Consider the following 16,992-nt stretch of genomic DNA (forward strand, 5'->3'; position numbering starts at 1 on the left):
CTGCGAAGCTGTGACTGGTCAAGGCATACCATAAGCAGCTTCCATGGCTGACACCAGGGAATGTGGTGTGGCACCCAGAAGCTTGGAGATACCAGGAATCACAGCACCCTAAAGAGAATGTCACAGCCCAGGTTCAGCAAGCACCTAGATCTGGGCTCCCTGCAGGGCCACAGCTCTTCATTCCTTCTCCCTTCTCTCCTTGTCACCTGCAATGTGGTGGGCAAGGGGCATGTTTCAGCCCTGTTTGTTTGATAGATCTTTTAGCCCCACCATTCAGCGGGTCCCGAATTCTTGTCCTGTATCCAAGAAGAATGAGGTACGCAGACAAGTGGAGGGTGAGCAAGACAAAGAGGAGCTTTATTGAGCAATTGTACAGCTGAGAGGACACCTACAGTAGGCAGCTCCTCTCTGTAACCAGGGTGTCCCAGTGAGTGCTCAGGTATCAGCAGAGAGGGTAGCTCCTCTCTGCTAGGCAGGTCCTCCCAACAAGTGTCCAGCTCTCAGCAGAGAGAGTTGTTCCTCTCTGCAGCTGGCCGTGTGTCATCTTCTTGAATCTGGCTGAGTTCAGGGTTTTTATGGGCCTCAGAGGAGAAGAAGTGTGTGCTGACTGGTCCATGGGCAGCCATGGGTGGGGCCAAAAAAGGCACCACAAGTTCCCACTCGGGTCGAGGGTCTGACAGCCCAGCCCTCAGGCTTCAGGCCCTCCCCCCTGCTTGAAGGTGGAGCTTCACCCAGGACCCACCCTCTTCCATCCAGGAGCCTGTCTGCCTCCTGCCACTGTTCATGGTGCCCAGGCTGTTTGTGCCAAGTGGAGCCTGCAGGCCAGCACCAAGCTGCACTTGGCACCCCTTCAGCCTCCCTCTCATAATCATTGATGCCCAAAGTACAGAGAGGGTTGAGATGACAGGGTGCTGACAGTGGGGAGATGCAAGGCAGCAGGAGAAGACACCTCCAAGCTTGAAGGGGCAAAGTGGGGGCCTTTCCAGGTCCCTAAGAGTCCAGAGGCACCTGGGGCTGCAGCCACAACTTGTGCAGATGCAGCCTTGCCTGGGAGGGCAGACCTCCTGCCCGCTCCCAGCTCCCACTGGCTCCATGGAACACGAAACCACCTCAAGCCCATCTCTGCCTCTGGGCCCTCTCTACCCTCCCCTCTGTGCCTGAACACACTGCTCCCACTCCAGTGGGCAACTTGGCCCAGCTCCATCCCAGAGGATCCCTGGGCAGTAGGCAAGGAGCAGGTGGTGTGGTGGCCCCGGCCAACCCCACACAAATGAACCTGATGCTCCCAGGGCCAGCCCTGCAAGTCCTTGCTGTGCCTTCAGCCAGGTCTCATGGGACCCTGGGATGCAGTGAGGAGTGAGGTTGAGCCACAGCAGAGGCCCCAAGACTGGGAGTAGGTCCTGTCTGGCCATGCAAGGGTCGGAATGGTGCAGTCAGCTGCCTTCCAGGGGTATGGCGCAGAGGGGACCCACAGCCACCACTGCTGCTCCCACAACCACTTCTGTGGCCACAGCTTGTGTCTCCCCACTGCAGCCAGTGTGATGGCAGTGGTCACTCCAGACAGCCTGCGCTGCCGTTAGTACCATGACAACACAGATGGGGGAACACTAAATTCTGTCAATCTCTAGATTTTTCAAGATATTTTTTCCATAATAAAGTACCGACTTTTCAAGAAAGTAAATTCCCATAATCTTTAATACAATAGGAATTTGCATCAGAAGGATCTTCTCTTCTACCCCAACATCACTGTAACTTTGTTTCTTTCTTTCTTTTCTCCTTATAAATGTTTCTTGGGAAAAAATGGCCTTACTTATAATAATAGACTTACTTAAAGACAGTTGCTTGTGGGGTAGGATTTAGGTCCCTAATCTCACTCCCCTAATGACTTTCCAAGCTTCTGAAATGCCTACTATTCATGCTTTAGCTTTATTTCAAGTAAACCTAGCAAAGTTCTATAAACTGTTTTTTTTAATTCAAAGATCCCTAGAAGTAAAGCATGTTTAACCATACAAATGTCTCACAAAATCTCAAAAAAAAACCTACATCTAAAATTAAACTCATGACTACTCCTACTAATCTGTTTCTTCTTCAGTCTTCCCAGTCTTTCCAAGTTACCTTCCATGCACCTAACTGTTCTTGCCAGGAATAAGAAACTCATCAGATTCTCACCTACTCCACAAAAACTGTTATTTTCAAGGTTTTCCTAAGTTTCCATGTTGCTAAATCCAACATATATTGGTCTATTCTCAATATTCTTCTTATTTGACTTATCTGAAACACTTGATACAGTTGATCACTTCTACCTTGAAACACTTTCTCTATTCAGCTCTCTGGACACCACCCTTTTCTTTCTCTATTTTTTTTTTTAGATGAAGATTTTGCTCTTGTTGCCCAGGCTGGAGCGCAATGGCACAATCTCGGCTCACTGCAACCTCCGCCTCCTGGGTTCAAACAATTCTCCTGTCTCACCCTCCCAAGTAGCTGGGATTACAGGCGACTGCCACCATGCCCGGCTAATTTTTATATATTTAGTAGAGATGGGGTTTCACCATGTGGACCAGGCTGGTCTTGAACTTCTGACCTCAGGTGATCCACCCACCTCAGCCTCCCAAAGTGCTGGGATTACAGGCATGAACCACCTCGCCTGGCCACCACCCTTTTCTTTCCGGATATTCCTCTCAACTTATTGTTTGCTCCTTTTCAAAATTCTTAACTGGTTTCTCTAATTCTGACTTCTGAATGAAGTCCCCCTGGGTTTGGTACATGGATCTTTTCCCTTTTTCTTTTTTTTCAAACACATTCCCTTGACAATCTCAATCAGTCACATGTCTCTCAAGACCATGAGCCATGTTATGGGCTCAAATGTGCTGCCCTTCCAAAATTCCTATGTTGAAGACCTAACCTCCAGCACTTCAGAATGTGACTGTATTTAGGGATAGGGTCTTTAAAGAGGTAATTAAGTTAAAATGAGGCCATTAGGGTGCGCCCTATTCTAATATTAGTGTCCTTTTAAGAAGATATTAGGACACAGAGGGAAAATTATGGACACAGGGAGAAGACAGCCATCTACAAGCCAAGGAGAGATGCCTGAGAAAAAACCAACCCTACAAACACCTTTATCTCAGACTTCTAGACTCCAGAACTGTGAGGAAATAAATTTTTGTTATTTAAGCCACCCAGGCTGTGGCACTTCATTATCGCAGTCCTTACAAATTAATACAAGCTAAATATATACATAAACTCATTCTTTTATATCCAACTGCCAACTCTATATCTCATTTTGGATGACCCAGTAAGCATCTTAATATATCCCAAACCAAGTTTCCCATCTAAGAAAATAGCAAAACCATCTCTCCAGTTGCTCACACTAAAAAGTTTGCAGTCATTCTCAACTCCTCTTTTTGTCTCTTACACCATGTCAACCTACTAGCAATCTTGTAGGGTCTACCATCAAAATAGGTCCAGAAGACAGCTACATCTCCCTCCCTCCATGATGCTACCCTGGTTCCAGCCACCATGATCCCTCAATGGGATTATTCCATAAGCCTCCTAACTGGCCTCCCTGCTTCTGCTGTGATGCCCAATTCATTCAATTTTCAACATAGCTTGCACAGTGATCTGATTTAAACAGAAGTCAGATCATGCCACCTGTCTACTCAAAACCTTCCAGTGATTTTTACCTCTCACGCCAAGTAAAAACCAAAGTCCTTACAATGGCCAAAAAACCAATAATAATAATAATAATAATTCCTATATCACCACTCTTCTTGCCTTTCTGGCATCATTCCCTACTGCTTTTCCTGTCACTCTGTTATCCTTTGACAGTCACTACTACAATCTCGGTTTTGTACATGCTGCTCCCTTTGCCTGGATTGCTCCATATGCATCTCCACATTGCTCAGTCTTTCACCTCTGTTCACATTCTCCATATATTTACTCAAACATCACCTTCTCAGTGAGAACTAATATACTGTGATCAGTATATTTAAAACTACAGCTTTCCCTTACTGCCTAGCCTGGCTCTAACTCCATTTATTTTACCCCATAGCATATATCACCTTTAAACATACTTTATATTTTTTTTATTTCCTTTTATTTATTTATTTTGAGATTTTTTTTTTTTTCTGTGGCCCAGGCTGGAGTGCAGTGGCAAAATCTCGGCTCACTGGAAGCTCTACCTCCCAGGTTCAAGCGATTATCCTGCCTCAGCCTCCCAAGTAGCTGGGACTACAGGCATGCGCCACCATGCACAGCTAATTTTTGTATTTTTAGTAGAGACAGGGTTTCACCATGCTGACTGGACTGATCTTGAACTCCTGACCTCAAGTGATCCTCCCACCTCAGCCTCCCAAAGTGCTGGAATTACAGGTGTGAGCCACCATGCCCGGCTTACAGATTTCTTAATTAAAATATTTAATTAATTATATAATTTTTAATTATATTACTTTAAGCTTATCTCACTTACTATATGCCTGCCCCACTCTCCCACAACCACCCAATTAGAATGTAGGTTCTGCAACATCAGATATTTTTTGTTTGATTCACTGTTTAAATTCATACAAGGTGATCAATAGATTTCTGTTCAGTGAATCATATATTATTATTGGTGTTAATTTAAGACTTGTCTATACATTAGACTGTAAGGTACATAAAAAGAAGAACAACGTCTGTTTTGCTCACCAGTGTATTTTTAATACCTAGCATTGTCACAGGCTAGAAAGTTTTTTAAATATCATTTTACCAATAAATAAATGAATAGATGGATTGTACTTCAGAATGAATTATTTCAAAAGAGATTTAAAAGCCCGTCACCTTGAAAGTGGCTTATAAACATGCAACTAAATGTGAATCAAATCAATTATTTATTGATAAAAGTAATAATAACATGATTTAATGTAAAAGAATATATCATTACAGAAAATCACTTAGCTATTCAAAATAAAACATTCAAAGATAAAGTAAATCTTGTAAACACAACACTGGGTGACATACAGCAAATTTCAGAAAAATACATGTATTGTGATATCTACCTTATGAATGTAAAGCATGCAATATGACTCAATTTATTGCTAAGAGAGATATGTACATGCAAAAAAAAAAAAGAAAGAAAGAAATGCATGTGAATAACAAGTACCAAACTCAGGAGAATATATATCTAAACAGGAAAAGGAGGAGAGTATAATTAGGAAAAGGCACGTGAGGGATTTCAACAGGATCTGTAACATTTTCTTTGGATAACTACTTGTGAATACATGGCTGCTCATTAAAGTGTTATTTACACATTTTTGTTTGTCTGAAATAATTCCAAATAATTCCACAATCCCAGAGAATCTTTAAACTATCTCCATGTTTCTCCGTGTTTTTTCTTTGCTATCCTACTTAAGCTAGCTCTTTAGTGTTCCCCGGGAGGCATAATCACACTGTCAATGATCAAGTTGCTTGCTCATTCAAAGTTTGCCTCTTTCTGTTGTGCACTGAATTCTAACTAATGTTAACACTTTCGTATATGGAGAAAAATCATTACCTTGAAAACTGGTTTTTATTCCTTAAAATAAGCTGTCATCTAATATCATGTATGTGTCTACTCTATAATAGCTATTAATAGAAATAAAGTTAAATTAGAAACATGGCTATGTTTCTTTCATCTATATTTCCAGAAGAATGATCCTGAGGAAATCACTAAATACAGTTTCCAGTCCAAATAACATGTATTCTTATTAGTCCAACTGGTGTCACTCATTGCTGCATGTGGTTCTTAACTCTTAATATTCAAGGCCTGAAGGATGTGTGAAGGGGGAAAACATTGTCACAAAACTTTTGGCATAGAGATTAAAAGTGCCAACAAAAAATTTAAATGTGATTAATCATTTTATGTTGGAGGGCCTACTATGGTATTACAAAACCACAGATTATAAAGCTTAAAATGACACTTAGCAATGAGCCCTGTCATGTTACAGAGAGAAAAACCATGTCTAGTTAGTAGAGTTTGTGTCAGATCTTAAGTTTTCCAGATTCTAGACTATTACTCTAAGACCTTTTCCCAGAAAACAGAGTCTAGTGATATCTCCAGAAGGAAAGGAAAAGACCTCCCTTTTTGAGAACTCTGTTGTCTCCTGCTAGGTATGTTAAAGATGCCATCATTTTTCACTCTCACAACAACTTCTTAAGTTAGGAATTATAAATCCATTTTCTTAAAGAGCAAACTCGGCTCAGAGAGCCAGTCACTTGCCCTACCTCCCAAAAGGAACAAATGACAGGACCAGAATCTAGGCAGGATTTGTTCAGGTCCAGAGCTGTGCTTGCTCCACTCTGCCTGCTCCTGTAAATAACCTAGTAATGAGCTAGGAGGAGGGAGGGGATATTATAGCAATCATCAATGCCCTGTAGTCTAAACGTCTCACCCAAAGGGGTGTACATTCTTATTACAATGTTTTGTGGTCCTCCAAAGAGTCACAGTACATAATAGGATATACACTATATCTGTGGTTTTAAATTTTCATGGGACAGGGAAGTAATCTTCAGGAAAAATGTCTAAAAGTCTCTTTAGGGGAGTGATAATGAAAAAAAAAGCTTAAGAAACGCTTCTCTATATGTTTCAAGAACAAAAATGCAAGTCAACTTTGAAGTCATTTCTCAGACTGTACATACAAACTCAAAATCAAGGTATGTGTTTCTCAATTCTGTTGAGTATGTTTTCAAGCATCAGTGGTTCTTTTCTTTTATAAGCCACAGGCTTTATGCTGGTCAAAGCATGGGTTTTAGAGTCAAGTGGATTTATCAAGTTGTCAAATCAGCTCAACTACTCATAAGTTTTGCAATTACTTGAACTTTCTGAGTTTCATCTTACAGGACCATTGAAATATTGAAATGCAATAGCATGTGAAATGCCTAACATAAAGTAATTTTCAATAAATGTGAATTCTTTCCCCCCACATTGGGCTATTAATTTCTTTGGGTAGTAAATCTCTATTATAGGAAGAAGAATGTAAGAATTGGTTACAATAAAGGCTGTTTTACTTTGGGGAAATAACTGAATATTTTTGACCTTCATAGAATTATGCAGCTTCCAGGTGGTCGTGGTTTAGTATTTGAGCATTTAGAAAAATAGGAGAGGGCTGTATAAGAATGAAGTAACAGAATTTGTTGGAGTATTATAAGGAGAACTTTAAATGGACTGTGACAGAGGAAAAAATAAATAAAATACTTATTTCAGTCATTACCATTAGTGGTCAGAATAGCTTGTATTTAAATAGTGGAACCACAGAGAATAAATATCTTAAAGGAAAGAAAGGAATAGAAAGCAGGTCAACTGACCTTTATCAAGATTTATGTTTCTGATGTTGTGATATAGCATACATAATATGCTTCAAGGCAACTGTTTGAATTCCAGAATGTTTTCAGTGGAGGACTGCATCCCCGCCCCATTGTGCTAGCTTAAGAACACGACAATTAGAATTGTAATCTTTATAATTTTCATGTTTAATATTTCCCCTTTCCTTCTATAACAGGTAATATGAAAATTTAGCTAAACTTGTGCCCCAATTGAGATTAAATTCAAATAAATATGTTATCTCATATCTATAAGCCAAAAATATCTTCACCAATAAATTTCATATTTCAAAGAACTTGCTTTATAGGTAGACTAATATTAATACTCATGTTTATCTTTCTACATTAACATAATTGCCTTAGGTTCTCCCCTACAATTTTAAAAGGGCATATACCAAGTGGAAAAGATTATATATACAATAAAATATAATATATATGTAGAATATGCATTTTTATTGAACAATAAATGTGTATATGCCTGTCCATCTAAATCTTATGTCTTATGTGTGTTTGACAATCTTGCTGTGATAATCACACAGGTATTAAAAACTGGCACATTTTATTTCTCCAGGGAAGGAATAATATCACTTTAATTATTCTTATCACCATGGTACAGTAGCAGCAATTTAGAAATACACTGGATCGGGTTATGAACAAGTGACTCAAGAACTGAGACACTGGCTGAAAATAATGAGATGAAGAAAAATTTGACAAAGTTTTATTTCTATTTGTTAGTAATAAAAGGAATCATCATTTTACTGAATATATAGCCATTGGTTTTAATGATTTCAGAACAAATAATCTTGTCCAGGGGGTTTTAGTCATCTTAGTCTTTACTTATTCTTATCTGAGAAGAGCAGAAATAAAATTTCTCATCAGAAAAGTAGACACGGCTCCTGCCTATCTTTCTGTCAGCAGTCCACCAGAGTGTTCATTTCAAGGCACCATATCTAGCTCCAGATGACCTAGGTCAATGTCCATTAAATATTGGGAAAAGTAAATCTTTCAAGTCCCAAAGTGGTGAAAGAAAAATTAGCATTCCAAAATCATTCTTTGCCACTGCTTCTTTCTTTTAATATATTTGAAACTATTCCTAGAAACTTTTAAAAAAAATAGGAACTTTAAAATATCTAAACCTTCCTTTTATCACACCCTGTCTCACATCACTTCTAAAATACATGTTTTGAAGTGCAATTCCCGAGTTTTACATTATGTCTGGACTTCTGGCTAATTCTAGTATTGAGTACTCTAGATGGGCTATTTTGCTTCATTCTGTTATAATTATATGTCAGAACCAATTACTCTACATGAATGCAATTTTCCACATAAATGGTGTTGACAACAACTGATATTGTGGCCCAGAGGCTGTAGAAATGGTCAAAGCCCTAGCTGGGAGGATAGCTTTTAAAAATGTTGTTTAACTGAATTAGCTTATTTCCTTTCCTTTCTGCTGCCTATTTTCCACCTCTTGTTTAGAATGAACCAACATTTTAATAGCCAGGACTAGAAAAGTGGTGGTGAGGGGAGGCATTAAATGAAATGATAGTTTATCTAGAGAACATGCAATGAATCCACACTTAACTTTCTTCATCACTTTCCCCTATTTCAGAACTTGCATAAACTTCTGTAAAGTCTTCAGTTCTTGTTTTGTTTATTTATTTGGGATAAAATAAATTATCATCTCATCTACGTACAAGGAGCAAAATACACAGGTAGCCTTGCATGGATCATAGACATGAGAAAACTGAGCATTCTCAAACTTTTTAAAGATCAATTTATTTTGAAAAAATTTACAGGACTGATTTTGCTATCTTTTCAAATAAGCATTTCTGTGAATTTTTAAGTTTGAAATGTTATATTCAAGTAATTTCCATTTATATAAAAATATAGCAATCAAAATATACTTAGCATTGCATGACATCATACAAGGTACTTTACGAAAAGGAGAAGAGCCATTTCCAAACCCCAAAAAAGTAATGCTAGAGTCTGCAGAAAACAAAACTGTATTCCTATTACAGAAAGAGCTGGATCTTTCTCCTTTGATCTCAGATGTTCCTCTGGAATTTACATAACAGAGCTTAGACATGGTCAATAACCTAAACAAACTTAAAATCTCGTGTTCCAAAACATACCTTTTAACTGAATGTCTACATATACTTTTCATAAACTTTGGATGAATCATCAGGATCAAAACCCAAAAGGCCTCCATTCAATAACACCCACCTAGTGCCAGCCACTAATTTGAAACTTATTTTGAAAAAAGGGCTGAAAGGGAGTTTGCTTCCTGTCTGAAGCACAGAGGTGGTATATTAGGGTAGTTCAAGGTCTGAGGGAAGAGATACAATTTGTTTTACTCATATCTTCACCATTTACATCTGCATCTTTTAGCTTTCAACTTTAAGAAATGGTTTGAGTTGCTTTCTGTCTGCTTCGTTTTTATAACAGACTTGAAAGAAGTCAGTTTTGTCCTTCCAGACATCCTAGCAGATGCTATCGGATTGATACTAACCACTGCCATTTTAACACTACACAGAAACAAAATGTAGATTCATTCTTAACCACGGCAGTAAATGTTCTGCAGCAACAAATGAATTTTTAAAATATAGATATGTTAGGATGACAGGTTAAACTGGTTTAGAAGGTTCCTGTGGATAAGAAGTATATGCTGGAATATAAATTGATTTCTGGAAGCTGTAGAATTTGATGTGAAAGATTTAGGGACTGAAAACCATCCTGGGGTTCAACCCTCTGTCAAAGATTCATCTTTAGTTCTACTTAGTAAGAACTCCATACCCGTGAGAGAGATATAGAGAGAGCAAGAAATGAGACCATTATGATCACTTTTGGTTGATATGCTCTTATGGCTACACCCATCTGAAGGGACTGTGCTTCTTTAGAATACACCATGAAAAACAGGCAGAGAATATAGAAACTGGAAATGCAATCTATGGACAGAGCTACTTTAAAAGAAAATATTTGCCTGATTCTTCTCTAAGGAATCAATAGATCTTCAGTGTCACATAACAAAATTTAAAGGGAAACATCAAATCCCTCAAAAGTCTTAGGTATCTGACCATGAGTCATCAGCCTAGTATGTCATTCTCTTCTATATTACAAAAGAATTCATTTCCTCTCTTTCAACAAATATTTGTTCTATGTCTGCCATGTAACAGGAGCTGTGTCCTGGCATTAAGAAAACAGCAGTGAACAGGAGAAGGTAACCATACAAAGATCACTGATAACAGTACTTCACACATTATTCTTCATAAGTTCCTTATGAGACTAAGTCACTGAGAATAGCATTGCAGTGTTACACACTAAACTTTCTTCACTTTCCTTTTCAGACCTTCAAGCCTTTCAACCACAAGTCCATAGATCTGTTTGCAATAATCTTGCTGATTTATATGTCAATGGGATAATGAATTTTCAAATCTAAGATGGGTGCACCAAAGGGTTCATGTTGAGTCACATGAAATTTGAAGGGAGAATTACACTGAATTTTAGAAGCCAGCATATAGTAATGTTGTTTCTTTATAACTTATTTCAATTTTATTTAATCTATGAATATTCAACCTAACATTAAAAGTATTGTAGAACATCTATATGATTTTTGTTAATTAAAAGAATTAAATTATATTAGCTGTTTCCAAAAAGTGTTGTCTATTTTACATAAACAGCCATACTAGGGGGTTGGCAACACAGTACAGAGCACAAATGAATTTTCCTGATAAAAGAAATACTAATACTTCAGAAAATGTATCTATCTTCTCGAGACCTCCAGATAATTTGAACAGCATAGAACTACCAGGATGTTCCAGCCACTTCAGAACTTGAATTGGCCATTTTGTTAGAAGAACTTGAAAAATAGATTCTCTATTAATCTATATCACATGAAGCAGGAAAAACCCTCACTAATCTATGTCAAATGATTTCATGTATGGTCTTTGCTCAATTTAAGTTCAATTGTTTTTTTTTTATTTAAACAACATGTAACTACTAGGTGATAGATGTATGTGCTAATTAAAATGCCACATTTCCAAAAAAGATTTGGGCAGAATTGAGCCAGTTATTTATCTGGGAAAAGAGAAAGAAGTATTTCCGGTTATCATGGAGTGCTTATAAGCCAAGTAGATCCACAGGCCATATTTGCATTTTGTGCTAATGCCATTTCTATCTATATGCCCCTACCTTACTCTCTGGTGTGAACCTTCTATATTGTAGGGGCTCTAATGATAGCCTCTAGTCACTTGTCAAGGACAGCTCCCTTGCATCTGCTATTCTTCCCCCTAGAAATAATCTTCTGGATGCACGTACGGCTGCCTTTTTTTCTTCTGTCAGATTTTAGCACAAACTTTCTCTCCTCCCAGAAACCTTTCTAGATCACCTATGTTCATTTGGTAACAAAAGTTACTTAACAAATAAACCCAAACGTAATGGCTCAAACACAGTAATGGTTAACTTCTCTCTCAGTGAATAGTTCAGGCAAATCTTGCAGGTTGCAGCCAAAGCAAGAGCCTTTGCTCCACACAGTCATTTGGGGACCCAGGCTGACAGCAGTGCCACCATTTTTAACACGTGACTTCCAAGATTCCTTTGGTTACTCTACTCATTGTTGTGACTTTACAGCTCACAAAAAGAAATAAAAAGCACTAACAATCATGTGAGAAAGACCTGAAGTGGCACACTTCACTTCTTCTCGTAGACTATTGGAAAGAACTTACCCAAATGGTTACTGCACTATGTACTGTATTGAAATTTAGAAATTAAGTGTAGTTGGGAAACCACATGTCCTATTATGGTAGAAAAACTGGAGAATGAACTTTGATGGACAGCTAGCAATGGCTACTGTAGCACACTAGTTTTAAGTCACTTGCAGTAGGTTTCCATCTTTCCACTTAACACAAGATCTTCAAGGCAGGAACTTTGTCTATCTTGCTCATGTCTACATGCTTGACATAAGAATAGTACTTGGCACTGAAGAGATTATCAAACAATATTTGCTAGCTGATTTACCAGGCCAATTCCTCTAAAGACTTTTGTGGAATGAAATCCAGATATTTATTTGCCATGGCTCTCTGATGTCCAAAAGTCTGCTTTCAGAAATAACCATGTTCATCTCTTCTTACTTGGTGCCCTTTCATAACTGTCAAATAACGGAACAATTCCTAGCATTATTGAGAAGCCGCCTCATGCCATATACCACTAAATGCTCCATATGTATTGTCTCATTTAATCTTCACAATAACCCTAGCAGGTAGGTACTCATATTAGTCCATTTTTACAAATTAAGAAAGTGAGTCTTAGGAAGTAACTCACATAATAGCAGTTACTTTGTAAGTAATTCACTCAAGGCCCACGGTGGATAAGGTAATAGAACTTGGACTTAAATCCAGTCCTGGAACTCAGTCTCCAGAGCCCAACCTGTTAACCATTAGGCCATATGGTCTCCCAAAAATTATTAATTCATTTAAAGCAGTGGTTCTCAACTGGGGACAGTTTTGGCAATGTCTGGAGACATTTTTGATTCCCATGACTAGGATATGGATGTTATCAGCATCTAGTGGATATAGATAAGGATGCTGTTAAACATCCTAAAATGCACCTGATCACCCCCAGAAAAGAAAAGAGTTATTCAGTTCAAAATGTCAACAGTGCTGAGGTTGAGAACCCTGATTTAGAAGGACACACTGTTTAGGCAGTGACATGTTGCTTTGAACAAATCATAAGCAAAAATCTTCTTAATCTGATTTTTTCCAAAGGTTATTTTTTGTTCACTTGAAAATTCTGTTTGAGATTGTCCTATTAAGTTGTTATTTACTTCCTCTTCTTATACTTCAGCTTCTAATTTCCATTTGCCCCTGGATATTTTATTTATTATCTTTTTAAAGCTTGAGTTGCCTTTTGTGACAGCTCAGGAAAGTCTCCACTGTTTTTTATTCAAATACCTTTCTGTACCCTACCTCTTTAATGACACCTTCCTCTACAGGTTAGTAACCTTTGTGACAACCTCCCCAACACAGACCTAAATCAAATGTTCATAGAGCTCCCTCTTCCCTCATTAACTTACCAAAAGTACTTATCCCATTTGAGGCCACTGTGTTCTCTTGAACTTAGCCAGGATTTTAATGAACATTTAATATAAATCCACTCATCTTATTTAAAAAGTAAAATGAAAATGGCAAGTTAATAGCAAAACCAAGATGTGACACAAGGCCTCCTAACTCCCAGTTGATTATTATTTGTAAGATACCACATCACCTCCTACCTGAGAAAATGTCCAAATGCATTTACACTTTATCATATTAATGATTTAATATAATTATATCTAAAAATAGAGTTAAATGTGTTAATTTCTAAGTAAGTTGTTTGGTATCATTTGCTTTTTATATTTGTGTATTTGCTCTGACACTAAAAATGTCTCAAGATGTTGTTTACAGAAATCAAAACTACTGATTTTTACTTATCACTTTGCCCCTTCACTGGCTTTATAGTCAGACAATATGAATATAGCCTTATAAAATTTTAATTGGAATGTTTTATTTTTAATATAATAGTATTTAGTAAGCTTGGTAATGACAGAGAGCATGAAGAAACTCCAGCATCCAAGAAAAAGAAAGTTGGGAATTTTTACATTTCTTTTAACCTGTTGCCCAGAGTTATTACTTTAACTTAAATTGATTTGGGGGGTAGCAGGAATGACAGGATGGAGGCAAGAAGTGGGTAGTGAGGATGATGAAAGAAAAAAGACTACAGATGAAGAAATCCACTTAAAGAAAAACGGAGGGAAACCAATCTGAGCAACTCAGAAAGCAAATGGCCCCAAATGTGAACTTACCACCACCAAACGCAGGATCTCCAGGTGTTTTCTTTCCTTTTCCTGCAGAGACAAGATTGTCAGGATGTCAAGAACCTGACTGAACTCTGCCGCCCTGCACTGTGAATTCCAGAGCTATGTGTGTCATTCTTCCCATCTGTTTCTAATTTAACATGCTCTTTCTCTCCAGATAGCTTTACAAATAGCTAAGCACACTTAATGTGGTGACCCAACCAGGAAGGATGTGTCAGACTGCTAGCTCTGGTGCTCCTTTCAAATGAGTGTTTAGACAGGCAAAACATGACCAGCAGCTATTCCTTGCCATAGATTTCCGTGGCAGTGAGCATGTCAAATCTCTATATGCTCTTTCTTGTGACCATGGCTGCTGTTTCACTGTGATTATCTTAAAAGAACTATAGGTAAAATCTAGGCATTCTCATGAATATGAATTTTTATGGAAATGAACATCAAGTATGGAATGTAAGCATGTGTAGAACAATGAAGAAGCAACAGATGTGAATGAGTGAGAAGGGGAAAACAAGAGGAACCAGATGGTTAACACCCCTGTGAAAAATGAATATGAGATGCAGCACAATTGCCCTCTTGGTAGAAATAGAAATATTGTAGCCTTAACGAGAATTTGGTACCCAGTTTAATCTTTTCCTGTCCCCTATTATCCTGCTTCTTGCCACTCTACTATAATGTTGACTCAGAGACTTTTACAACCCCAGAGTGTAATATTGGTTGTGGAACACTAAACCACACAATTAAAGAATACACTTAACCATGATGTCACATCATACCTGAATGGTTGGATGATCCTGGAAAGAATAGGAACAAAGAAAATGAGAAAAAGAAACACCCTTACACTATTCCCAGTAAAAAGAGTAGCAAACATGAGAAAGATAAATGCATAGGGTTTCTCTTTCTCACTTTTGCCACTCTTTCAAATATATAAGCTATAAGACAATAGATAATAAGATTTTAGATATAAAACATCTCATAGATATAAATTAGATATAAAACATCCAATTAGATGGTAATCAGATAGAAAAGATCCAATAGAAGTGGATTTTTTAACATAAATTGACATTAAAAAGTCCCAAAATTGTATAAGGTAACCTCCACCAAATATGCAAACACATGAGTTATGGATGTAAAATCATAATACACAAATTATTGTGTGTTCATTAAATAATTTAAGATATGACTTTTTTCATACTGCAAAACCATTCAGTTTATCATAACTCAGACTAAGAGACATCTTGTGCCTACAGAGTTCTCAAAAATATCCTGCATATGCAAAGGTCCCTTATAGACATAAATGAAGTAAAACAAAATAAAATTGAAAGGAGAACTGTGAAAGAAGTAACAAAGCAAATTAGCATTAAGCCTTTTCTGTGGGTTTTGTCCAATCCATGCTCTTTAATGTGAAGAGAGAACTTACAATGTTTATTTAAAAAAAATGAATGGAGTGAGAATTACATTTGACTCCAACTCTAATTGGTCTTAGACTGAAAGATATGATAAGGTATTACTTTGTATAACCATTTTAGTAAAGGCACAATTCAACTTGTATTTTCAGGGGCGCAGGTGCCAGAAGCCAGTCTTTTTTACCCCCAACAGATTTTTCTTCTCTTATGTCTTATTGGTCATATTGTGCCACATGGCCATTCCTTGTTCTCTGGGAAGTAGAAAAAAAAATGAGTATTTAGGTTTTTAATCCTTTATGAGGGAAGGTGGCAAAGCAGAAGGGGTTGGGAATGAATATTTAGTGAGCCAACAATGTTGGCCACAAGCATCCTTTTTAATTTGCTTTCCAATGAAAGAGGTATTTGTGACTGGTTCTACTCTTCTGTCGCTTTCCTGCTTTGAAAGCAAATGTGATGCCCTGATCCCTAGAAGGCAACAGTATCATGGAGTTGAGAAGCCAAACCACCAAGGAGAGCAGAGCAGAAAGGTGAAGAGCACCTGAGTCTTTACTGATGTCACCAAGCCACTGCACCAGCATAGACTTACTTCTTTCCAGACTTTTTCCTACATGAGAAAAATAATCCCCTATTTGTTTTAGCTGCTGTTGCTCTTTTGCATGTTAAGGTAGTGCTCTATTGAATACTTTAACATTTTCCAGGTCAAGATAGAAAACCATTCAAATGCCAGTACACAGAGAATTGGCATGGGGTGCGGGTGCCAGGGCAATAAGGGAGAAGCAAAGTGGAGGCAAACTCCAACTCTCAGGAAAAAAAATTAAAGCTAACAATGTACTTCAGGATTAAGAGACTAGGAAAACTGGAAGATGGATTATAACATCTGAGGAAAGAAAGAATCCCAAACCACAGATAAATCTATTGCTTAAATCCCACAATCTCTGCACAGATTTTAAAAATGTCCTACATGCTTTTCTTCAAGATAGCTGTACATTAACTTTGTGTAAGCAGGGAAGAAAAAATAAAATAAAATAAAAGGGAGATTGTCCAAAGTGTTGACCAGAGAATGAGGTTTTATAAAATTAAAGCCAAAAGACTGAATAATTAAGATTAAATATACGTGTCTCTTGTACAAAAAGGCTAACTAAAATCAATATAGAAATCATTATCAGATTTCAGATGAGTAGAGACTATCTTCCAACTAAATTATGAGAAGCAAAAGAGAGATAAAATACCATCCCCTGGAAAACTCTAATTCTGTAACTGAGAGAAGACCAGTAAAATCCTTTCGAAACAACTAGCATGATTTTGAAAAAAAATTTAATCCAACTCCTTTATTTTACTGATGGGAGTTTATGAACCAGAGAGGCTACATTATCAAACAGAGTAAAGCAAATATTTGTAACATTGTAAGGATATTTG

The 16,992-nt window shown here is 37.7% G+C and overlaps 1 long non-coding RNA gene across 1 annotated transcript in view; it reads left to right on the forward strand.

Moving 5' to 3' along the window:
• Nucleotides 1–16,992, forward strand: part of LOC102725220 (uncharacterized) — a 43,302-nt gene that overhangs the window by 10,895 nt on the left and 15,415 nt on the right. The gene's annotated exons all lie outside the window — the stretch shown is intronic.

The sequence above is a fragment of the Homo sapiens genome, chromosome 4 (genome assembly GCF_000001405.40).
Source record: "Homo sapiens chromosome 4, GRCh38.p14 Primary Assembly".
In the NCBI taxonomy this organism is placed as follows: Eukaryota; Metazoa; Chordata; class Mammalia; order Primates; family Hominidae; genus Homo; species Homo sapiens.